This window comes from Homo sapiens, chromosome 3 (assembly GCF_000001405.40).
Source record: "Homo sapiens chromosome 3, GRCh38.p14 Primary Assembly".
Taxonomy (NCBI): domain Eukaryota; kingdom Metazoa; phylum Chordata; class Mammalia; order Primates; family Hominidae; genus Homo; species Homo sapiens.
This window is the reverse complement of record NC_000003.12, coordinates 191,662,029-191,687,694: the sequence shown is the minus strand read 5'-3', so window position 1 is coordinate 191,687,694 and position 25,666 is coordinate 191,662,029. Positions and strand designations below refer to the sequence as shown.

Sequence of the window (25,666 nt, the reverse complement as noted above, 5' to 3'; positions counted from 1 at the left end):
GAAGAGTATTTCCATATATTGCTGTTTTAGTATATATTAGCCCTAAATATGTTTATATTCTTTGACCTACCAGTTTTACATCTCACAGCATAGCCTATGGAAATAGTGAACTTAGTTAAAAATTGATTTATGAGTAGAAGTGTGCCAGCAGAATTTATAAAACATAAAACTTACAAAAATTAATTTCATCAACAGGGATGGAATATTATGAAACTGTTAAAACTGTTAAAAAAAGAAAAAGAAAAAGAAAAAAAAAGAAAACCTGACTGCCTCATGTGAAAAACTACTCATAGTTAAGTTACAGAGGCAGGTGAAAAAATTTTATAAATAATGTAATCATAATCATGTATTTAAAAGTGCTATGGGTATAAAAACAAACTAGAAATTAAATATATATATATTGACATTGGTGATATCTTGCTCAGGTAAATACATGCTTTCATTTTTTCTTTTCTTAATTTTCAATGTATTTTAATGAGGATACATCACTTATATAAGTATAGATTTTTTAGATTATGTTAAATTGATTGATTGCATTGCTTAGTAGCTATTACTCAAGTGTGATTTGTAGAACACAAAGATCTTTATAAAGGGAATTGTAACTAGTTGGTGTGGGACATAGAGGATGGCTCTCAAAGAGAACCATCTGGCTGATTGGGTGGATGGATCAGAGATCAGAGTTCAGGGCTCTGAACACCTCAGAATGGCTGTGAAATTGAGGACAGAAATCTAGGAATGGAAATCTGTACAAAGTGAGAACACTGAACTGTGCATAAAATGTCCTTCAAATCCTAGGCCAACTCCTGAAGTGCACACATGTGAGTCAAAGTCCCAAGGAAAACAGCACTTGGAAGCCTAAAATAGCCAAGGAGAGATATGAGCAACAATGTGCTTCTATGTAAATAGCATAGTAAATTCCAGGACTAAAACCATTTGACCTTGGACAAAAGACAAAAACAAAAGAGATCCACCCTAATAATGTCAAAAGTCATGTTTTCACATGAGCAACATGATCTGTCAGTAATATAAATGCCTGTTGGAATAAAACTTATAAAACTCAATGCCTTTCATAGACAGAATTCAGAGTCATTACATTGTTTAACTCACAGCATCCAGTAGATAATAGAAAATTACTAGCCAGGTGACGAAGAAAAATCTGGAGGAATGTGGTCAAATAACTTCCCAACTCATCACATATTATACTTTATTTTTGAAGAATCATAATATATAAAACATACTTAAAGTTTTGTGAGGGCTACAGGAAAGATATCTGTTTAGCCACTACTTTCCAAACTGATAATGGAAAATTTTGTCATGAAAACATAAAACTCTTAAAATATGAACATACTGAAAGCAAAACTCTCACCCATTGTAATATATAATCGTCATTCTAGTTTGATAATCTGATTCTAATAAAAGGTGTAAGATTGTAGTGCCTTTCCAAAAACATTTAAAAATACATCAAGGTAGCAACCTACAATCTCCGAGAATCATCGTATATAAAGGAAGCACCTTCTCTTTAGAGTCTCCTGTTATAGGCACACCTATACTGGATTATTTCAATAAGTACTCTGATTTTCTACATATTTTATATTTTAGTGGTCTACTTCTCACCCAAAGTTCTTGTTGTATTTATATGACTGAAATTTATTTAAACCTTCCAAGATGTTAAAAACCATACAGTACTATATTAAAACATATGTATAATCATATTTAAAACAAAATGGTGTTTAATTTTTAAACATATGTTCTTCAAGAGAGCTCCTGATTGCTCTATTTTGCATTTTTATGCTTAATCTCATTATTATTTTCTCCTACTCTAGACCTTAGAGAACATAATGTTCTTCAGAAACTTTTCTTTTTGCTATTATGTATAAATCTTTTGAGACCATGCATACAGAATTATGATGATTAATTCTTCTGGACGCCTCTCTAACTCAAACTACTAAAGTATACACAAGGACAAATAACCGTAATTAAACGTTTCTATAAAAGGAAAAATTTGAAACTTAGTTTTCAAAGATAAGAAATGTGTTTTGAATAGTTCTCATTAAGAAAGGAGGACATAAAATTATTATTAACTCAACAAATTTCAGAGAGACCAAATAACTTCCTATCTATTTAATTCCAGAGGAGATTAGATAAATTCCACTCCATTAAATTTTTGGTTACATGCATTGAGGTTTTTCAGTCTATATTCTTTATGCCAGAATCATGCCTTCCTTCTTCCTGGCATAAAAAACGTAGACAAAAAAAAACTCAACACACATCACCAAAAAATATGGGGAGATCTTTTAAAAACACATCTACCTTAGAGGGAATATTCTGAAGTGCTTTTCTTCCAGTCTTATTTTGCCTATCTGCAGCCTGCCTGCACAGACCTAAAATGGAAGCCTGTGTATCACTATGACCTGCAGACTTACGTAGAAATCCTAACTGGTGTTTTTATTCAAGGGGGGAATTCTTTGATATAGAGATACTATTCTGCAGAAGAAGTTATTCATACATAATATGGATCAATGACCATGACATGTGGAGAACAAACAATTTGAAAAAGAACTCAAAGAAACAGATGAACATGAACACACTTCTCATTCGTATCTTAGGGAAGACTTGAGAGACAATTTTATCAATTGAAAAAGAAAACAGATTACTGTAAAAAGACACAAATCAATTCTAAAATTGATCATCTCTAAAAGTGGTACAACCAGGCATTATGTTTCCCCTTATGTGACACAATATGAAGTACACAGCACCGCTCTGAAGTAAACTTGCCAAGAATATTAAACCTGAACATAAGCAAGCCTTTATCTCTAACTTTGAATTCACAGGAAACACGGAAGACAAAAAGTTATTAAGATACACGATAAAGAGGCAATAAGAAAAATCCTAAATGTAGGCCATAGAAGAAAAATGATGGGATTTTTTTAAAACAAGTTAATGAAAGACAAAAACAAAAGAGGAACAGTGAACAAGATTAAAAGAGACTTTATCTGATATTTGTTCAGTCCAAATATAAAAAGTTATCTTGAGTATAATTTGGAAAAATTGAAAATGGACTTGGTATTCTAATATACTGATGTATATTTGTATCACTCAAGAAGAAAGAGTCAAAAAACAAAATATGACACAACACTAATTGTAAATGCATTTCAACTTCAGAAATATTAAGAGCTGAAAAGATACCTATCTGTGCTTAGAATTAATACAATTTGATACGTTTGTAATTTTTCATTAAAAAAGAGGAAAAAAGAAACGCGTTTTTGGAAGTTAACAAATGTATGAGTTAGAGGTGGAATAAAGGTCAGAAAAGTGAATAACCCCAAATCTTTTTAAAAGAACTCCATCTGGTAAAAGGGGTAACATTCCTGATGGAGAAGGTAGGTTAAACCATCCAGGATTATGTTTTGTGTATTCATCTGGGGGAACCAAGAGAAAGTGCACCATGGCTTATGGCTCACTACAGTGCTTGGGAGACACTTAGGAATTACTATGCTAGTAAAGCATGGAATCCAGAGTGCCCTAGCTTTTACACTTTGGGGGAGAAAAAGCCCCAAGATAGGAATTAACTTTCTCTGGAAGGATGCAAAAATTTAGTAGGAGAAGAAGTGTAACAAGGTAATTCAAAACATAAATCCATCTTTTCCTTTGTGCATTCCCCTCTTTTCTTTCTCCTTTATACTCTTATGCGCTCTCTCTCTTCTTCAAGTCACTCCAAAGCAAAAACAAAGCTTCAAGGAACCAAATTTTTACCCCACATACAAATGCTTATATAACAGCGAAAAATCTTGCTTATAGCATGTATATATATATTTCTCCTAACAAGAGCTAGAAAAGCCTGGACCTAGGAGGAGAAAGAAGAGAGAGTGTGGCTTTTATGGATAAATGGAAATTAGAGGATGGCTGAGTGAAGAAGACCAAGGGTGGAAGGAACTCAAAGCCCTTCTTGGGTATGGGCTTTCTCCACAAAGACCTTGTACCTTTGAACAACCTGCCATTTGACAGTCCCAGACACTTGTCAGAGGGAGGGTGTTTGGGTTCCTAAATGGTTGGTAGAGACAGATGATTGTACCTGAGTTAAGTCAGACAAATCTAAAACAGTGTATGAACCGGGCTATGACTTCTTTCTAGGTAATCTTGAGGGCAAGGCTAACTACATACTTGGGTGGCAGGCTGGGAGAGTGTGATAGGGTAAAGATTGATCTGCACACCCAGAGGCTGCTGGACAAAGAATGCAGAATCACAGACTATTCAGAGTTCTGTCCATAGGGGTTGTCTGGGGTGTTTAGAAGACATAAGCAGAAAGGTTTGGAATCATTTCCTCAGGTGTTCCTAGTTGCAGAAGGAACCACTGCAATCTACCGGTGGGAATAAAAAAGCATCAAGGAACTAGAAGCAAAAGAGCTCAACAAAAAACCTGTGAAGAGCTGTTAAAACGCCCCAGTAGAGAAAAGTTGTTTCTGAACATCTGGCACGCCCAAAAAACTCAAAGCTGGCACAAGTTCAAGTAGCAACTCAGCCTTCTGCATTTTCCTTATATCAGCCTTGGTGGGAAAAGCTAACAGCAGCCAGTGAGTAGGGGAGGAGATGAGCACTAAGAAAGAAAACGCCAACTTTGCCTGATTTTCCCCCACAATCTGCAGTGGCTTAAGCTGAAAAGGGAGGAAGACTGTAAATGAGTGCGGATGTTTGTTGTTTAAGGAGATTGTAGAATTATTTAGTATCTAAAATTAGATACAAATTCATAACTTTGCTGGAGTTTTTAATCTAGAGATAGAAGTACATTATCCCTACTCAATGAAGTTTTAAGTGGAAAAAGCATACAAAAGCAAAATTGTTTTATTTTGTCAAGAATCATGCTTTTCTGTTACATTGCTATATGTGATTACTGCTCTTTCTTAATCTGGAGAAAGATCCAAATCAGCTCTTCTCAGGAGCAGGGCCAAATGGATACAGGACAGCTTAGCCCAATCCAGCACGGAGGTGATGAGGTGAATTTCTCCCAAGTGAGTTTATGTTCTCAGGTTGCATTTGCTGGACCACTGGTCAATTGGTCTCCTGATGGAGCTAAAAATAAGATTTCTTTATCTACTTTCTTTCCTCAGGTAATGGGTTCTGGGAACATAATTTTGCCTGATCGATCTGTCATGGGGCAGCAGAATTTATTCTCTGGAATAGTTGTGGGGTTAATGCCCTGATCTTTTGCATCCCATTAACCCTCAGGACTTCTGAAAAGTGAGTCACATCAGGGAATAAGCATTGAACTGACACAGACTCTGAGACCCTGAAGCTAGTTTAGGCTGAGAGGCAGCCTACATGTTGCTGCCATGAGGAAAATCAGTAATGCCTAAGCGTCAGGCACCCTTCTAGATGAGACGGAGCCCGATAAAGAATTCAAAAGCGGCCAGGAGCAGTGGCTCACACCTGTAATCCCAGCACTTTGGGAGGCCGAGGCTGGTGGATCACAATGTTAGGAGTTCAAGACCAGCCTGGCCAACATGGTGAAACCCCGTCTCTACTAAAAATACAAAAATTAGTTGGGCATGGTGGCACATGCCTGTAATCACAGCTACTCAGGAGGCTGAGGCAGGAGAATTGCACTCCAGCCTGGGCTACAGAGCGAGACTCCATCTCAAAGAAAAAAAAAAAGAATTCAAAAGCACTGAAATTTCTTTATACATTAAATATGATAAATAATAATTTTATCTTGAAACTTTAATTATTTTAGATTTTGGTTTGTCTTATCTTCCAGAGAATTTTAATCTTCAGGATTTTATTTTCCCTAGGAGTTTCATATGATAATAAAATTTGGGGCATCTTTGCATTACTGGTTTTTATTGTTGAAATGTCTTCATGAATTAAAAAAAATTGAGACATTAAAAATTAATAATTTTTTTTCCACATGTAGAAGATGGAGGAGGAAAATATTCTGAGTGTTTAAGCTTGAATTTTCTTTATTTTACAGGTTGCTAAAAGATGGTGAGTATATATGAATTTTAAATTTTAAACTAATTACAATCAGTTTTGCACTTTTGAAAAGTTATCCAGAGAGTGAGCAAGGCATTGAAGGCAGCAGAACTAGAAATAGAGAAACTTACTGAGAGGCTATTGCAGTCTCTGTGAGAGATGGAAGCAGGAACTGGAGTGAAAGGCAATGGAGGGCAGATGGAGGGCAAGGAAGGAGAAAGAGAGAGAGCCATAATTCAGGATTCAGATTTAGTGGTCTTGGTAGTGGGAGATAAAGGATAGGGAAACGTAGGGTGATGCCTATATTCCCAGCTTCCAAATCTGGGTAGATGGTGATGTCATTTACTGAAGCCAAGACTATTACACAGATATGAATTTGGGTGGAGACAGAGGTAATTAGGTTATTTTGTGACTTATTAAATTTGAGTTGCCTAAAGTATCTGCAACTCTTGGGTGTGAAATTGTCTTATCTGGTTTTGAATATAGAAGACAGGTCCTCAAGAGAGATTTATCTGGAACAAACAGACTTGGAATTTTAAATAATTGAAACGATAGCAATACATGAGTATGACTCAGTCTGAAAGTTTAAAGTGATAAGAGGAAGATAGAATTATGAGGAGACAAATATTTAAGGGAAGGGCATAGGAAACTTGTTAAAGGGAACGGGGGAATGACCAGAAAGAAATACATTTTCCTCATGGTGTGATTAAAGCTTCATCCCAGATTACTCCTGCACTGTTCCTACAAAGTTCTGGATTTATTCCCTAGCCTCAAGAAAAGATTGCTTCAGCTCTTCCGTAAAGAACATGAAGCATCCTAAAACATAACTGCTGTGTGTTTCATTTGACCTGTTCTCTGACTAATTTATTGACACTTTCTCCCACCCACCCCAGTTACAGAGCAGTGACTAGGTCTTAACCATCATCACTAGACCTTTTCTACCTCGTGGTTTAGAGTTTCTTACAAAAAGACAGTCTCACTGTCTGATCTGCCACTCCCAAACACATGTGAGGTAGTCCAAAGAGTGGTTCAAATTATGTTAAAGCAAATGTTTGTTTAATGTGGTAACATAGGAAGCACTGTGCTAAAACTACTGTGGATGGAGAGATGACTTCCTAGTCAGCTTTAGAGATACTCAGTCTCACTGGGAAGTAAGACATGCACGTAAGTGGCTATTGTAAAGCCAAAGTTGGAACAGTGCTGTGATAAATAGGGTGTTTGCCCCCATTTTATTTTATTTTATTTATTTTATTATTGTTATTATTATTATTATTATTATTATTATTTTGAGATGGAGTCTTGCTCTGTCACCCAGGCTGGAGTACAGCGTCGCGATCTTGGCTCACTGCAACCTCCGCCTCCTGGGTTCAAGCAATTCTCCTGCCTCAGCCTCCCAGGTAGCTGAGATTACAGATGTGCGCCACCACGCCTGGCTAATTTATTTGTATTTTTAGTAGAGACGGGGTTTCACTATGTTGGCCAGGCTGCTCTCGAACTCCTGACCTCATGTGATCCGCCCACCTCAGCCTCCCAAAGTGCTGGGATTACAGGCGTGAGCCACCACACCCGGCCGCCCCTGTTTTATATATGAGGAGAGAGGGATTTAGATTCAACAACAGCCATCATGTAATGGGCATTATTCAGGCTTTCCTTATGCATGTCAACTAATGCTCACAGTAAGCGGGGAAGAAAGAATATTATGAATTTTAGTTTATACAGATGAGAGCATGAGTAAATGAAATAAGTAAAGGGGAAAAGGTTCGCCGGAGATGACAGAGCTAGTTAGGAGAGAAACTGCCATGAACTCATTTTGGCTGGCCCCAGATATGCCATATCCTTTATACTTAGAAAAAATTCCTACCTTTTCAGATTCTGTGACCTATTCCAACATTCTGGGCATTTAAAGAGCATTTGTTTATTTAACTGTATGCAATTTTCTGAAACTGAAACAAGAACGCTACTTAAGGATATTTTCTGAACCATAAGCCTTTTCTATTTGACTGTCTCTGGGTCAAGTGTACATAATTGGTGAGTGGGGTGAATTACTCCAAATAGGCTGTCTTCCTGTTACTAATAAGGTTATGATTGTTTGAAAAGTACTTGAATTTTGTTGTATTATGGTGAGTGGATGAGAAGTGGGCTGGAAAACGGGCATGAAGACTTAAATCTTACAAGGAGCAAAACTTATAAAAGCAAGTCCTAGTGAGCCTTGGAATAATATTCCATTACAGTATGTTTCTTGCAACATCTTTGACTCACACACACACACACAAGCACCAATTCAAAAACAAAAATCCAGAATATGTTGGAATCCTTTAAAAAATCTATGAATTAATATAATAAAAATTATGATGATATAATATCCCTATCTATGGATTGACAATATAGTTTTAAAAGCCTAAACATGTAACACAATGGAAGAGTCAAAACCCTCTATACTCAGTGAAGTTTGGTGAAGTGAGTAATGCTCAAGCTAATTTGACCAGGTAGTAATTGTGTGTTCTGTTTTGTGTGTGTGTGTGTGTGTGTGTGTTTGCTTGCTTTTTATAGGATGCAGGACAATGTTGTACTATAACATATATCTTCCATGCTTTCTATTTTACTAAACTTCATCAGAGTAGATACAGAAAGGCATAGAGAATATTTCCCAGTGATGACTAAATTTCAAATCAAAAACTACCTACAAGACTCACGGGTTCAAGTCATGCTTATGCTTTTAGGATAATGAAAACTGCAAGAGAATGTCCCTTCCATGCTAACAATAAAGAAAGCTAATAATCTAAAAAGGTATAATTTTTTTCAACCCTCCAGAGAGCTTAGGTTACAAGTCAACCAAGTGAAGTAAATTCCAAAGAGTTAAAAGATGCTTGAGAAGAAAAGGGACAGTGAGAACATTTGCTTTTGGCAGTAATGGTAGGAAAATGTAGCCAGCATAGAAGCATGTTAGAAACAGTTCACTAAATGTTAGAGAACTCATAAAGGTTAGGCGTAGTAGTCCCAGAATCAAAGCTCTTTTCTTCTATAAGCCTCCATTGGGTTTTCAGAAAAAATATCTAAGGCAGTGCAGGAGTCTGGAGAAAGGCCTGTCCATGTCATATGCATGCAGAAGGTAAGTGGCTGCTGCTGGAGAACAGGCACAGAACAACACCTGCATATTAAGTAAACAAACAAACAAAAAACTTAAAATATAGGGGAAGGGGCATTCAATATTCTTTCTCCAAGGCAAAGGTCTACTGCTTCTGGTGGAAGGGTAAAAACAAAATCTGTTGAAGAATAGGGATTCTTCCAATCTACATCCAGGAAATAGACAAAGATCCACTACTTCTGAAGGGATTTGTTGAAGCAAAAGTGCTCCGCTCTAGAGAGGAACAAAAAATCACCTGCTACAAGAAGAATGCACTAGCACAACATAGAAATCTGGCACTAGCAATGGAAGAAAAGGAAGCTCTCCAGCCTAAGTCCTGCCACAAATGTAAGACAGAGTTTGGCTGACAAGGGTGTCAATTTATCATGAAGATATTATAATCCTTTTGTATTGATCCAACTGCATAGCTTCAAAGAACATTTTTTAAAAATGGTAGAAATGAGAAATAGACAAATCCACAATTACAACTGGAATCTTTAATACTCCTCTCTCAGTACTTGATGGGAAAAGTAGACAGGAAGTCTTTAAGACTATTAATGACTTGAAAAACATTATGAAGATATATGACTTAATAGACATCTATAGGACATTCTACCTATCTACAATTGCACATGGAATACTCACAAAGATAGATGATATTCTGTGTCAGAAAAACAAACCACAACAAATTTAAAATAATGGAAACAATACAAAATGCTTTTTTTTTAACCATAACATAATTAAACTAGATACCAATTATAAAAAGACATCTGGAAAATATCCAAATATTTATATACACTGACAGAAAAAAGCGCCAACACTTCAAAAAATTTTTCTGAAAATTAAATAATTGGGAAAGCTTTTTAGTGAATTTTATGAGGCAAGCATTAGCTTGATTCCCAAACTAGCCAGAGACATTTAAGAAAAGGAATCTGTGGACCAATATCCCTCATAAATATGGAAATATAAACCATAATAAGACATTAGTAAGTCAAAGGCTGGCATATAAAGACAGAATGATCCATCAGGAACAATTAGCGTTATCCAAAAAGTCAAAGTTTAACATAGCATTAAAAAATCAGTGGAATTCACCATGTGAACACACCAAAAAGAACAGCCATATGATCATCTCAAGGAATGCAGAAAAAGAGGTATTTAATATCCACCATTCATTCCTGAATAAAACTCTCGGTAAGCTGGCAATAGAAGGGAACATCTTCCATGACAAAGAGTATATATGAAAAACCTGCAACTAACATCATATTTAGTGGTGAAAGACTGAATACTTTCTCCCTGAGATAGGGGAAAATGCAAGAATGCATTATCTGGCCTGGGCACAAGGCTCACGCCTATATCCTAACACTCTGGGAGGCTGAGGTGGGAGGATCACTTTTGAGCCTAGGAGTTTGACACCAGCCTGGGCAACATAGAAATACCCCATCTCTATCTTTATTAAAAAGTAAATTTAAAAAAATGGGCCAGACACAGTGGCTCACACTTGTAATCCCAACTTTGGGAGGCCAAGGCAGGAGGACAGCTTGAGCTCAGGAGCTCAAGACTAGCATGGGCAACATAGAGAACCTGACTAAACAAAAATTTTAAAAATTAGCCAGGTGTGGTGGCACACTTGTGTAGTCCCAGCTACTTGGGAGGCTTAGGCAGGAGGATTGCTTGAGCCCAGAAAGTTGAGGTTGCCATGAGCTGTGATCACACCACTGCACTCTACTCTGGGTAGGTGACAGAGTGAGACTTTCTCTCAAAAAAATGAAATACATAAATATATAAAGTATCATCTTATCACTCCTATTATCTGGCATCACACTAAAGTCCTATACAGTGCAATAAGACAAAAGAAAACAAAACCTACACACCTAAACAACAACAAAAAGTGGTTAAGACAAACAAAACTATCTCTATTCACACATAATATGTCTACGTAGAAAACTCTAAGGAATCTACAAAAGAAGCTACTGAATCCAATGTCTGATCTTAGTAGTTAACAGAATACAAAGCCAATATACTAATTCTAGTTGTTTTGCTAATTACTGGAAATAAAAAATTTGAAGGTTAAATTTAAAAATATAATTTATTCCAGACACAGTGGCTCACAACTGTAATCCTGGTGCTTCAGGAGGCTGACGCAGGAAGATCACTTGAGGCCAGAAGTTTGAAACTAGCCTGGACAATACAGTGAGACATCATCTTTACAAATAATTTAAAAATTAACAAGGCATGGTGGCATATGCATGTAGTTCTAGCTACTCAGGTGGCTGAGGCAGTGGGATCACTTAAGCCCAAGAGTTCAAGGATGCAGTGAGCTGTGATTGTGCCACTGTACTCTAGTTTGAGTGACTGAGTGAAATCCTGTCCTCCCAAATATATATGTGTGTGTGTATATATATATATACACACACACATATATATGTATGTATATATATGTGTATATATATACATCTATACATATATATACACACACACATACACAGATAATAGATAGATACAGATATATAATTTCAGTATTTATATCACTATATATGTAAATTATATATAGATATATACTGTATATATGATATATATACTGTAATTATATGTAGATATATACTGATAATTATATTTACTATATATAGAGAACAATTATATACATAATTATATATAATCTATAGAAAGAACAATTATATATATAATTGTAGTATACTATATATAATTGTATACTGTATATACTGCAATTATATAAAGATATATACTGTAAATTACATGATTTATAACTCGATTATATAGAGATATAGTATATATAATTACAGTATATATAACTTACAATAGCATCACATCTGTAAATAATATAAGAAAATATGTGAAATATTTGTGTGCTGAAAACTACAAAGCATCGATTAAAGAAATTTGAGGAACTTCAAAAGACATAAATTAGTGCAGAGATACGCCATGAATAAAAGTCCGAAGGCCTGTTATTGTTAAAATGTCAATTCTTCTCAAATTGATCTATAGATTCAAAACAATCCCTATCATAATCTCATCTGTTTTATTTTTGGGAGAAATTGACAAGCTTACTCTAAAATTTATGTGGGAAATGTAATGATCTTGAACAGGAAAAGTCATATTGAAAGAGATGAACCAAGTTGGAGAACTCACACTGCCTGATGACAAAATTAACTGTAGTAAATGCTATAGTCATCAAGGGAATATGATCTTACTGTGAAAATATTAATATATATCAATGGAATATCATAGAGGGTATAAAAATAGACTCATATCTATGTGCTTAATTGGTGTTTGACAGAGGTACAAATCAATTCAATGGAAAAAAGATAACCCTCCAACAAAAAAATTCCTGGAAATTTTTGACCGCGTATTTAATATGATAAAAATATTGTTGAATCGTCTCTCTTACCATATTAAAAAAATTTTGAAATAAGTCATTGACCTAAATATAAAGAGTTAAAAATCATAAAATTCCTAGAAGAAAGCAGAGGAGAAAATGCTTGTGGCAGGGTTAAGCAAAAATTTTTAGGACACAAAAATCATGAATCATAGAAGAAAAAATAGATGAATTGGGTTTCATCAAAATTATAATCTTATGCCCTACAGAGATATGTAGAAAATGTAAGGAGAAGCTACATATTGGAAGAAAATATTTGCAAGACAAGTATATAGTAAAGAAATAAAGACATAGTTCAAAAAGGATCCTTATAACTCAATGCTAACATTATAAACTAATATATAGGTAAAGGATTATGATTTGAACAACTATTTTAATAAAGATGGATACGAATGACAAGCACATTTGAAGAGATGCTCAATATAATTAGTCATCAGGGAAATGTAAATTAAATTTAATCTAAAATAAGATACCTGATAGAGTAAACTGAAAAAGAAAAGACAGTATAAAGTGCTGAGAAAGATACACAGCACTTTGACTTTTCATATGTGACTTGTGGGAATGCAACATCTTTGGAAAACAGTTTGGCAGTTTTTTATAAAGTTAAATCCTAGGATGCAACAAATCTGCTTCTTAATATGTACCCAGGAGATATGAAAACATATGTTCATACAAAGGGCTGTACAAAATGTTTATAGCAGTTTTATTCATAATAGCTGAAACCTACAAAAACAAAACAAAACAAATAGCAAAAACTCAAAGCTCATCAACTGATGAATGGATAAATTGTGGTGCATTCTTACAATGGAATACTGTTCCTCATGCAAAAGAATTGAATTACTGACACGTGCAACACCTTCATTAATATAGAAAAGAATTATGCTAAATGAAAGAACCTAGACACAAAGGGATACGTAATGTGTGAATCGTATGGCATTCTGAAGAAGGTAAAACTATAGGCATAAAAACAAGATCAGAGATTGCCTAGGGCAAGGTGGAGAACAGAGCATAGTGGAACTCTCCAGTGATGCAAATATTCTATATATTGATTATGGTGGTGGTTACATGACTGTATATGCTTGTCAAAACTCTGCACTGAGCATTTAACTAAAAAAGAGTGAAAGCTAATGTATTTAACTTCTACATCAATACACATGACCTATAAATGAAATGTGGATTTAAGTTGTTTTCTTTTATGTAACTATCTGACCCTGGGAACTCTATTACATTTTTTTTAAAGTCTCTGAATCTTAGATACTTCACAAGTAAAATAATGGTTTTAAACTAAGTATGCCTAAATGTTCCATCTGATAATGGCAATTACATTAACTCTTACTCAGTGAATCAGCCGGATTAATTAAGCACACTTCACTGCTTTTTAACTTATTGATTGAATGTTTTTATCCAAAATTTCCATAGCCCTTGTATTTCAGAGACAACAAGCAAAGGAAATATCTTGAAGGTACATCCCCAATTGCTCAATTACTGAGAACAAGAAAAACTCTTATCTTGAAGTCTAGACCCAAAAACAAACTGGCTTTTCTCTAAAGACTATTGTCGGCCGGGCGCAGTGGCTCAAGCCTGTAATCCCAGCACTTTGGGAGGCGGAAACGTGTGGATCAGGAGGTCAGGAGATCGAGACCATCCTGGCTAACACGGGGAAACCCCGTATCTACTAAAAACACAAAAAAATTACCAGGCGTGGTGGTGGGCTCCTGTAGTTCCAGCTACTCGGGAGGCTGAGGCAGGAGAATGGCGTGAACCCGGGAGGCGGAGCTTGCAGTGAGCCGAGATCAGCGCCACTGCACTCCAGCCTGGGTGACAGAGCATGACTCCATCTCGAGAAAAAAAGAAAGAAAAAAAAGAAAAGAAAAAAAAAGACCATTGTCAAAGAGATTGAATCACATCCTTATCATGAAGAGAAAGTGCTCAGAACTTGGCTAAGTCCACATCTTTCTAGTTTGGGGATGTTCCACAAAAATATAGTAAGAGAATGAAAAATTATAAAGAAAATACATAAATTGGTCTTACTCTGGTTACTAGCAGCAATGAATTCTATTAACATATAAAATCATATTTCATGTCACATGAATGATTCAAAAATTGTTAATTGAAAATACTAAAAGAAATAAAACTTTCAAGGGGATGCAGACTGATATCTAAGCAATAGCATATTTATGAGGATAAATTTGTATTTTATGGTTAGATGTGGGTGAAAACATACCATTTTCTGTGAGGAGAAAAATCATAGCATCTCACAGAAAGTATTTTTTAATACAATAAATCATCCCTATATAATCTGTACAGCAAACCACCATGGCACACATTTACCTATGTAACAAACCTGCACATCTGGCACATGTACCCCTGAACTTAAAATAAAATAAAATAAATCACCCATCTTTAAAAATCCATCTTTCAGCTAAAACAACTCTTTGTCATCAGGGTTTGTGTATTTATTTCTTCTCTGCCTCCTCAGCATAAAGCACAGTGTCTAACACTGTATATACTGTATGTATACTATATACTGTATAGATTCATATTGACATTCTCAAATAATAAAGTCTGGAGTATTTAAATAACTATTAATCACTTACTAACATCACATTCACCTATCTTAAGCATACAGCAGCCCTTGTATTTAAAGGCAAATGAAAGCAATATGCTACATTCGTAGGTAAAACTAAAAATGAGTTTTTAATATATAAGAGCTTCAGACAGGACTGTGATGCTTAATTTTGATGAAGGTAATATTTCCGAACATGAACTAACTGCTTAATTGCTTAAAAGATCTGAAATTTTGCCCTGACTTTAAATTGCTCTGTGGTAATTGTCAGGCCTCTGAGCCCAAGCCAAGCCATCGCATCCCCTGTGACTTGCACGTATTCGCCCAGATGGCCTGAAGTAACTGAAGAATCACAAAAGAAGTGAATATGCCCTGCCCCACCTTAACTGATGACATTCCACCACAAAAGAAGTGTAAATGGCCGGTCCTTGCCTTAAGTGATGACATTACCTTGTGAAAGTCCTTTTCCTGGCTCATCCTGGCTCAAAAAGCACCCCCACTGAGCACCTTGCGACCCCCACTCCGGCCCACCAGAGAACAAACCCCCTTTGACTGTAATTTTCCTTTACCTACACAAATCCTATAAAATGACCCCATCCTTATCTCCTTTCGCTGACTGTCTTTTCAGACTCAGCCCACCTACACCCAGGTGAAATAAACAGCCATGTTGCTCACACAAAGCCTGTTTGGTGGTCTCTTCACACGGATGCACATGAAATTTGGTGCCATGACTCAGATCGGGGGACCTCCCTTAGGAGATCAATCCCCTGGCCTCCTGTTCTTTGCTCCATGAGAAAGATCCACCTACGACCTCAGGTCCTCAGACTGACCAGCCCAAGAAACATCTCACCAATTTCAAATCCAGTAAGCGGCCTCTTTTTACTCTCTTCTCCAACCTCCCTCACTATCCCTCAACCTCTTTCTCCTTTCAATCTTGGCACCACTCTTCAATCTCTCCGTTCTCTTAATTTCAATTCCTTTCATTTTCTAGGAGAGACAAAGGAGACACGTTTTATCCGTGGACCCAAAACTCCGGCGCCGGTCACGGACTGGGAAGGCAGCCTTCCCTTGGTGTTTAATCATTGCAGGGACACCTCTCTGATTATTCACCCATGTTTCAAAGGTGTCAGACCATGGAGGGATGCCTGCCTTGGTCCTTCACCCTTAGCGGCAAGTCCAGCTTTTCTAGGAAAGGGGCAAGTACCCCAACCCCTTCTTTCCTTGTCTCTACCCCTTCTCTGCTTTTCTGGGGGAGGGGCAAGTACCCCTCAACCCCTTCTCCTTCACCCTTAGCGGCAAGTCCCGCTTTTCTGGGGGAGGGGCAAGTACCCCTCAACCCCTTCTCCTTCACTCTTAGTGGCAAGTCCCGCTCTTCTAGAGCAGGGGCAAGTACCCCAACCTCATATCTCTGTGCCCCAGTCCCTTATTTCCACGCCCCAACCTCTTATATCTCTGCACCCCAATCCCTTATTTCCATGCCCCAACCTCTTATCTCTGTGCCCCAATCCCTTATTTCCATGCCCCGACCCCTTATTTCTGTGCCCCATCCCTTATTTCTGTGCCCCAACCTCTTATCTCTGTGCCCCAACCCCTTTTCCCACTTTTCTGGAAGGTAAGAACCCCCGAACCCCTTCCCTCCGTTTCTCTACTCTCTTTTCTCTAGGCTTGCTTCCTTCACTATGGGCAACTTTCCACCCTCCATTCCTCCTTCTACTCCCTTGGCCTGTGTTCTCAAAAACTTAAAACCTCTTCAACTCACACCTGACCTAAAACCTAAATGCCTTATTTTCTTCTGCAATGCTGCTTGACTCCAATACAAACTCGAGAGTAGTTCCACATAGCCAGAAAATGGCACTTTGAATTTTTCCATCCTGCAAAATCTAAATAATTATTGTCGTAAAATAGGCAAACGGTCTGAGGTGCCTGAAGTCCAGGCATTCTTTTACACATCAGTCCCTTCCTAGTCTCTGTGCCCAGTGCAACTCATCCCAAATGTTCCTTCTTTCCCTCCCATCTGTCCCCTCAGTACCAACCCCAAGCGTCACTGAGTCTTTCTAATCTTCCTTTTGTACAGACCCATCTGACCTCTCCCTTCCTCCCCAGGCTGCTCCTCGCCAGGCCGAGCTAGGTCCCAATTCTTCCTCAGCCTCCGTTCCTCCACGCTGTAATCTTTTTATCACCTCCCCTCCTCACACCTGGTCCGGCTTACAGTTTCGTTCTGTGACTAGCCCTCCCCCACCTGCCCAGCAATTTACTCTTAAAAAGGCGGCTGGAGCCAAAGGCATAGTCAGGGTTAATGCTCCTCTTTCTTTATCCCAAATCAGAAGCGTTTAGGCTCTTTTTCATCAAATATAAAAATCCAGCCCAGTTCATGGCTCGTTTGGCAGCAACCCTGAGCCACTTTACAGCCCTAGACCCTAAAAGGTCAAAAGGCCGTCTTATTCTCAAAATACATTTTATTACCCAATCTGCTCCTGACATTAAATAAAACTCCAAAAATTAAATTCTGGCCCTCAAACCCCACAACAGGATTTAATTAACCTCGCCTTCAAGGTGTACAATAATAGAAAAAATTTGCAATTCCTTGCCTTCACTGTGAGACAAACCCCAGCCACATCTCCAGCACACAAGAACTTCCAAACGCCTGAAACGCAGTGGCCAGGCATTCCTCCAGAACCTCCTCCCACAGAGCTTGCTACACGTGCTGGAAATCTGGACACTGGGCCAAGGAATGCCCACAGCCTGGGATTCCTCCTAAGCCGTGTCCCATCTGTGCGGGACCCCACTGGAAATCGGACTGTTCAACTCACCTGGCAGCCACTCCCAGAGCCCCTGGAACTCTGGCCCAAGGCTCTCTGACTGACTCCTTCCCAGATCTTCTCAGCTTAGCAGCTGAAGACTGACACTGCCTAATCTCCTCGGAAGCCCCCTAGACCATCATGGACGCCGAGCTTCAGGTAACTCTCACAGTGGAAGGTAAGCCCATCCCCTTCTTAATCAATATGGAGGGTACCCACTCCACATTACCTCCTTTTCAAAGGCCTGTTTCCCCTGCCTCCGTAACTGTTGTGGGTATTGATGGCTAGGCTTCTAAACCTCTTAAAACTCCCCAACTCTGGTGCCAACTTAGACAATACTCTTTTAAGCACTCCTTTTTAGTTACCCCCACCTGCCCAGTTCCCTTATTAGGCTGAGACACTTTAACTAAATTATCTGCTTCCCTGACTATTCCTGGACTACAGCTATATCTCATTGCCACCCTTCTTCCCAATCCAAAGCCTCCTTTGTGTCCTCCTCTTGTATCCCCCGACCTTAACCCACAAGTATAAGATACCTCTACTCCCTCCTTGGTGACCAATCATGCACCCCTTACCATTTCATTAAAACCTAATCACCCTTACCCCACTCAACGCCAATATCCCATCCCGCAGCACGCTTTAAAAAGATTAAAGCCTGTTATCACTCACCTGCTACAGCATGGCCTTTTAAAGCCTATAAACTCTCCTTACAATTCCCCCATTTTACCTGTCCTAAAACCAGACAAGCCTTACAAGTTAGTTCAGGATCTGCGCCTTATCAACCAAATTGTTTTGCCTATCCACCCCGTGGTGCCAAACCCATATACTCTCCTATCCTCAATACCTGCCTCTACAACCCATTATTCTGTTCTAGATCTCAAACATGCTTTCTTCACTATTCCTTTGCACCCTTAATCACAGCCTCTCTTCGCTTTCACTTGGACTGACCCTGACACCCATCAAGCTCAGCAAATTACCTAGGCTGTACTGCCACAAAGCTTCACAGACAGCCCCCATTACTTCAATCAAGCCCAAATTTCTTCCTCATCTGTTACCTATCTCAGCATAATTCTCATAAAAGCACACATGCTCTCCCTGCCAATCGTGTCTGACTGATCTCTCAAACCCCAACCCCTTCTACAAAACAACTCCTTTCATTCCTGGGCATGGTTGGATACTTTCGCCTTTGGATACCTGGTTTTGCCATCCTAACAAAACCATTATATAAACTCACAAAAGAAAACCTAGCTGATCCCATAGATCCTAAATCCTTTTCCCACTCCTCTTTCTGTTCCTTGAAGACAGCTTTAGAAACTGCCCCCACTCTAGCTCTCCCTGACTCATCCCAACCCTTTTCATTACACACAGCCGAAGTGCAGGGCTGTGCAGTCAGAATTCTTACATAAGGACCAGGATCGCATCCTGTAGCCTTTTTGTCCAAACAACTTGACCTTACAGTTTTAGGCTGGCCATCATGTCTCCGTGCAGCTGCTGCTGCTTCCCTAATACTTTTGGAGGCCCTCAAAATCACAAACTATGCTCAACTCACTCTCTACAGTTCTCAACTTCCAAAATCTATTTTCTTCCTCATACCTGATGCATATACTTTCTGCTCCCTGGCTCCTTCAGCTGTACTCACTCTTTGTTGAGTCTCCCACAATTACCGTTGTTCCTGGCCCAGACTTCAATCTGGCCTCCCACATTATTCCTGATACCACACCCGACCCCCATGACTGCATCTCTCTGATCCACCTGACATTCACCCCATTTCCCCAAATTTCCTTCTTTCCTGTTCCTCACCCTGATCACACTTGATTTATTGATGGTGGTTCCACCAGGCCTAATCGCCACACGCCAGCAAAGGTAGGCTATGCTATAGTACAAGCCACTAGCCTGCCTCTTAGAACCTCTCATTTCCTTTCCATTGTGGAAATCTATCCTCAAGGTAATAACTTCTCAGTGTTCCATCTGCTGTTCTACTACTCCTCAGGGATTATTCAGGCCCCCTCCCTTCCCTACACATCAAGCTCGAGGATTTGCCCCACCCAGGACTGGCAAATTAGCTTTATTCAACATGCCCTGAGTCAGATAACTAAAATACCTCTTAGTCTAGGTAGATACTTTCACTGGATAGGTAGAGGCCTCTCCTACAGGGTCTGAGAAGGCCACCGCAGTCATTTCTTCCCTTCTGTCAGACATAATTCCTCAGTTTAGCCTTCCCACCTCAATACAGTCTGATAACAGATGAGCCTTTATTAGTCAAATCAGCCAAGCAGTTTTTCAGGCTCTTAGTGTTCAGTGAAACCTTTATGTCCCTTACGGTCCTCCGTCTTCAAGAAAGGTAGAATGAACTAAAGGTCTTTTAAGAACACACCTCACCAAGCTCAGCCACCAACTTAAAAAGGACTGGACAATACTTTTATCACTTTCCCTTCTCAGAATTCAGGCCTGTCCTCGGAATGCTACAGGGTACAACCCATTTAAGCTCCTGTATAGACGCTCCTTTTTATTAGGCCCCAGTCTCATTCCAGACACCAGACCAACTTAGACTGTGCCCCAAAAAACCTGTCATCCCTACTATCTTCTGTCTAGTCATACTCCTATTTACCATTCTCAACTACTCATACAGGCCCTGCTCCTGTTTACACTGCTGGTTTACACTGTTTTTCCAAGCCATCACAGCTGATATCTCCTGGTGCTATCCCCAGACTGCCACTCTTAACTCTTGAAGTAAATAAATAATCTTTTCTGGCAGGACTATGCTGAATCTCCTTAAGCACTCTCTAATCAGATATCCTGAGTAGTCCCAATTCTTAGACCTTTTATACCTGTTTTTCTCCTTCTGTTATTCCATTTAGTTTCTCAATTCATCCAAAACCGTATCCAGGCCATCACCAATCATTCTATACGACAAATGTTTCTTCTAACATCCCCACAATATCACCCCTTACCACAAGACCTCCCTTCAGCTTAATCTCTCCCACTCTAGGCTCCCACGCCGCCCCTAATCCCGCTTGAAGCAGCCCTGAGAAACATCGCCCATTCTCTCTCCATACCATCCCCCAAAAATTTTTGCCACACCAACACTTCAACACTATTTCATTTTATTTTTCTTATTAATATAAGAAGTCAGGAATGTCAGGCCTCTGAGCCCAAGCCAAGCCATCGCATCCCCTGTGACTTGCACGTATATACCCAGATGGCCTGAAGTAACTGAAGAATCACAAAAGAAGTGAATATGCCCTGCCCCACCTTAACTGATGACATTCCACCACAAAAAAAGTATAAATGGTCGGTCCTTGCCTTAAGTGATGGCATTACCTTGTGAAAGTCCTTTTCCTGGCTCATCCTGGCTCAAAAACACCCCCACTGAGCACCTTGCGACCCCCACTCCTGCCCGCCAGAGAACAAACCCCCTTTGACTGTGATTTTCCTTTACCTACTCAAATCCTATAAAAGGGCCCCACCCTTATCTCCCTTCGCTGACTCTCTTTTCAGACTCAGCCCGCCTGCACCCAGGTGAAATAAACAGACATGTTGCTCACACAAAGCCTGTTTGGTGGGCTTTTCACACGGACGCGCATGAAAGTAATTGTCTTGATTTCTGGAAGTTCCAAGCTTCTTTTCTCCTGACTGATGATACCAATTTCTAGTTCATGTATTAAACTTGAAGTAAAGAAGATAATGTAGCACAGTCATTCAGCTCATCTCCTAAGATGTCAGTAGGGGCTTATCCTCGTCCCTCCCATTTCCAAATAACCATGTAGCTCTGATTTTATTAACTAAATATCATATTTCCCAAATCTATTTCCTCCTCTCTGTTCCTATCACCATTCTCATTATCATTCACATGCTTACTGCAAATGTTCTGAAGGCTTTTAGTCTTGTCCATTTCAAGCCATTCTCCATATCCCTTCCAGAATTATCTGCCTATAGTCCAACATTTAACTATTGGACTCTACCACTGATTGCTCATCAATGACTCTAAATTGGCTACAAGTTCAGGAAAAGGTTGTAATATATGTTGTAGGATCTACCTAATCTGGCCTTGCCTATTGCTAGCCTTATTCCTACCTGCTCTCTGCCTCGAGTGATACACACCAACAGGTGATTCTATGTATAATTCTTTGCACAAACTTTATTGTTTCTTGCCTCTTTGCCACTGTTTATACTATTCTTCTTCTTGGAACACCTTTCACCTTAATATGTAATCTATGAAAGATCTGGAACTTATTTAAATTTTTTTTTTTTTTTGCAGTTGCAAGATTTAATAGAGTGAAATAGAGTGAAAACAGAGCTCCCATACAAGGGAAGGGGACCCAAAGGGGGTTGCCATTGCCAGCTCGAATGCCTGGTTTTATATCCCGTTCCTTGTCCCTCCCGCTGTGCTCTCAGGCAATAGATGATTGGCTATTATTTACCTCCTGTTTTTGCCTAATTAGCATTTTAGTGAGCTCTCTGATTGGTTGGGTGTGAGCTAAGTTGCGAGCCCCGTGTTTAAAGGTGGATGCGGTCACCTTCCCAGCTAGGCTTAGGGATTCTTAGTTGGCCTAGGAAATCCAGCTAGTCCTATCTCTCAGTCCCCCCTCTCAACAGGAAGATCCAAGTGCTGTTGGGGAGGTTGGCCAATGACTGCTCTAACTGCTTCCTGCTGAATTGGGGCATAGTAGGGGTTGGGCAGTTGAGATTTCCTTGGGAGGGGTGCCTTTGATGTCATTAACATCGGATCATGGGCTAGCAGGCCAGTCCAGGGGTCTGTGGTGGATCTTAGTCATGGACTGCATCTGGGGCTCCATTTGAAGACCCATTTGTAGTTTTACCATTTTGATTCTGGAAGAGACAAACTTAACAAGGAGGTTAAAGATACAGGGATTGAAATGTATGGCCTGCAGTATAGGGGATTATTTCTTTGGCACACTTCACAGGCCCTGACTATCTATCTGCTTGATAGTTTTGAAAAGGCCTGGACCAGTAAATAATAATTTGGCCATCTGATGGGTGCTATCAATGCCTAATGGAAGGTTTGGTGAAGGGTTTTAAGTAATTTCTATTAGTTAGCTGCAAGCAAAAGTATTTTTCCTTCTTTGGTGGCTAGCCATCTGGAGGGGAGGGAAGTTTGTTCTCGTGAGGTTCCCTATTCTATTTTTCCTGCTGAGTACTGGGGTTTGGTTTCCCGGAGGGGATTACCCTATACTAGGGGCCCTTCTATAAGCATTTCTAATGAAGGGTCCTGCCTTGTGGCTTTTTTGACTTCAATATCCGCTTGGCGGTTCCCTTCTATTTTCCTTTCTTTCCTTTTTGATGACCCTGGCAGTGTAAGACTATCACCTCTTTAGGTTTCTGTACAGCCAATAATAATCTCCTAATGGCTTCCTGATGTTTGATAGGTATTCCCTCAGAAGTTAGGAATTCCCTTTCTCTCCATATTGCTGCATGGGCATGGAGGACTAGGTAAGCATACTTAGAGTCTTTATATATATTTACCCTTTTTCCTTCTCCTAATTCTAGTGCCCAAATTAGGGCTATTAGTTCTGCCAGCTGAGCACTAGTTCCTGGAGTGAGGGGATTACCTTAAGTATTCCATTATCACTGACCACTGCATACCCCACTTTTTGAAGTCCTTTTTCTACAAAGGAACTTCCATCAGTATACAAGTTGAGGTCAGGATCAGTCAAGGGAACCTCTAAAAGGTCCCCTCTAGTGGCACAGGTTTGAGTAATTACTTGTTGACAGTTATGTTCTATCTTTTCTTCATTGTCTGAAAGAAATGTGGCTGGGTTAAGAGTTGCACAAGTGTGCAGTTGCCACACTGGCCCTTCAAGTAATAGAGCCTGATATTTAAGTAAATGGTTGTCTGACAGCCACAAGTCTCCTTTAGTAGTGAGCATGCCGTTCACATCATGAGATGTCCACACAGTAAGATTTCTTCCCTGTATTATTTTAACTGCTTCAGATACTAAGACTGCTGCTGCAGCAACTACCTGTAAACAATGAGGCCAACCCTTTGTCACTACATCTATTTCCTTACTCAGGTATGCCACAGGTTGCAAGCTCGTCCCTTGGACTTGTGTAAGAACTCCTAGAGCTATTCCTGTTTTTTTTCTGTGACATATAAAGAAAAGTCTTGCCCCGTTGGCAAGCTTAACACTGGGGTTTGGGTTAGGGCCTTCTTTAAGGCCTGGAAAGCTGCTTCTGCTTCAGGTGTCTGTCTTACTAAATGGGTATTCGCTTTTTGAGTTTCCTTAATTAGTGTGTATAATGGCCTGGCTATTTCACCGTACCTGGGAATCCATATTTGGCAGAAGCCTGTTATGCCAAGGAATTCTCTTAGTTGCTTTAGGGTTTTGGGATGAGAATAAGCCAGTATTGGCTGGATGCATTCCTCACTGAGGGCCCTGGTGCCTTTGGATAATTTTAGCCCTAAGTATTTAACCTGCTGTGAGCAGAGCTGAGCCTTTCATTTGGAAACCTTGTAACCACAGGTAGCGAGGAAATTTAAGAGTGCTTGGGTGGCTTGATGGCACAAGGTTTCTGAACGGGTGGCCAAAATTAAATCATCCCCATACTGAAGGACAAGATTGTCCAGGTATGAGAACTGGCTCAAGTCTTGGGCTAATGCCTGGCCAAATAGATGGGGGCTATCCTTGAACCCTTGGGGTAAAACAGTCCAGGTGACTTGAGATGTTGGGTTCAAAGGATCTTCAAAGGCAAACAAGAAGTGAGAGTCAGGATGTACAGGGATACAGAAAAAAGCACCCTTAAGGTCTAGGACTGTAAACCACTTTGCTGCCTCTGGTATTTGGGAAAGCAGAGTATAAGGGTTAGGTACAGCTAGGTATAGAGGAACAACAGCCTCATTGATAATCCTGAGATCTTGCACTAACCTCCACTGTCTGTTGGGTCTCTGTAATAATAAAATTGGAGTATTGCAGGGGCTATTGCATGCTTTTACTAGGCCTTGGGCTTTTACGTCCTTAACAATCTTTTGGAGTCCTTGTTGTGCCTCGGATCTGAGGGGCTACTGCCTTTGGTAGGGAAAGGAGGTGGAATTCTTTAACTTGAACAGGACGGGTATTTTTTGCTTGTCTATATTGTCCTTCTGTTGCCTAGACTTTAGGATTAATTCCTTCCTCAAGCAGGGGACAACAAACAGGTGTTCCTTCTCCTATGTTCAGGTGTATAATGGCCCCTGCTTTTGCTAGAATGTCTCTCCCTAACAAGGGAGTGGGGCTTTCAGGCATAATTAGAAAAGCATGTGAAAAGAGTAAAGCTCCCCAGTCACAGCTTAGTGGCTGGGAGAAGTATCTCGTGACTGGCTGTTCTAGGACCCCTTGGATAGTGACAGATCTGGAGGACAGTTGTCCAGAACAGGAGAGTAAGACTGAGAAGGCCGCACCAGTGTCCAGGAGACAGTTAGCCTCTATGGTCAAGCATACCCGGGGCTCTGTGAGGGTGATGGCATGGGCTGGCGCTTGCCTCGGGCACCCTCAGTCCTGCTGCTGGATCATCTGGTTAGTGGCTTCTGACTCAGAGGACCTTCATTCCCTGGGGCAGTGGGCCTTCCAGTGATTCTCTTGACATAAGGGGCATGGACTAGGGGGCAGCTTACTTCTACTTGGACAATCTTTTTTAAAGTATCCTTGTAGACCACACTGGAAGCAAGCCCTATTAGGCATTCAATTTGCCCAGCTTTTCCCTTTTCCAGAGCCTCCAAAGTCTGCTTGCCTGAGGGCCATGACTAAAGCAGTGGCCTTTTTTTTAATCCCATTTGTCCCGTTCCACCTGCTCCTCCTCGTGTCTATTAAAAAAACCAAGGT

The 25,666-nt window shown here is 39.6% G+C and overlaps 1 annotated feature.

The window, feature by feature from the left end:
- Positions 15,043 to 15,854: an enhancer, noted in NCBI's record as "OCT4-NANOG-H3K27ac hESC enhancer chr3:191389630-191390441 (GRCh37/hg19 assembly coordinates)". NCBI's record gives its function as "activates a minimal SCP1, AML or CMV promoter by ChIP-STARR-seq in naive and primed H9 embryonic stem cells {active_cell/tissue: H9 hESC(naive and primed)}" and the evidence as "EXISTENCE:reporter gene assay evidence [ECO:0000049][PMID:30033119]".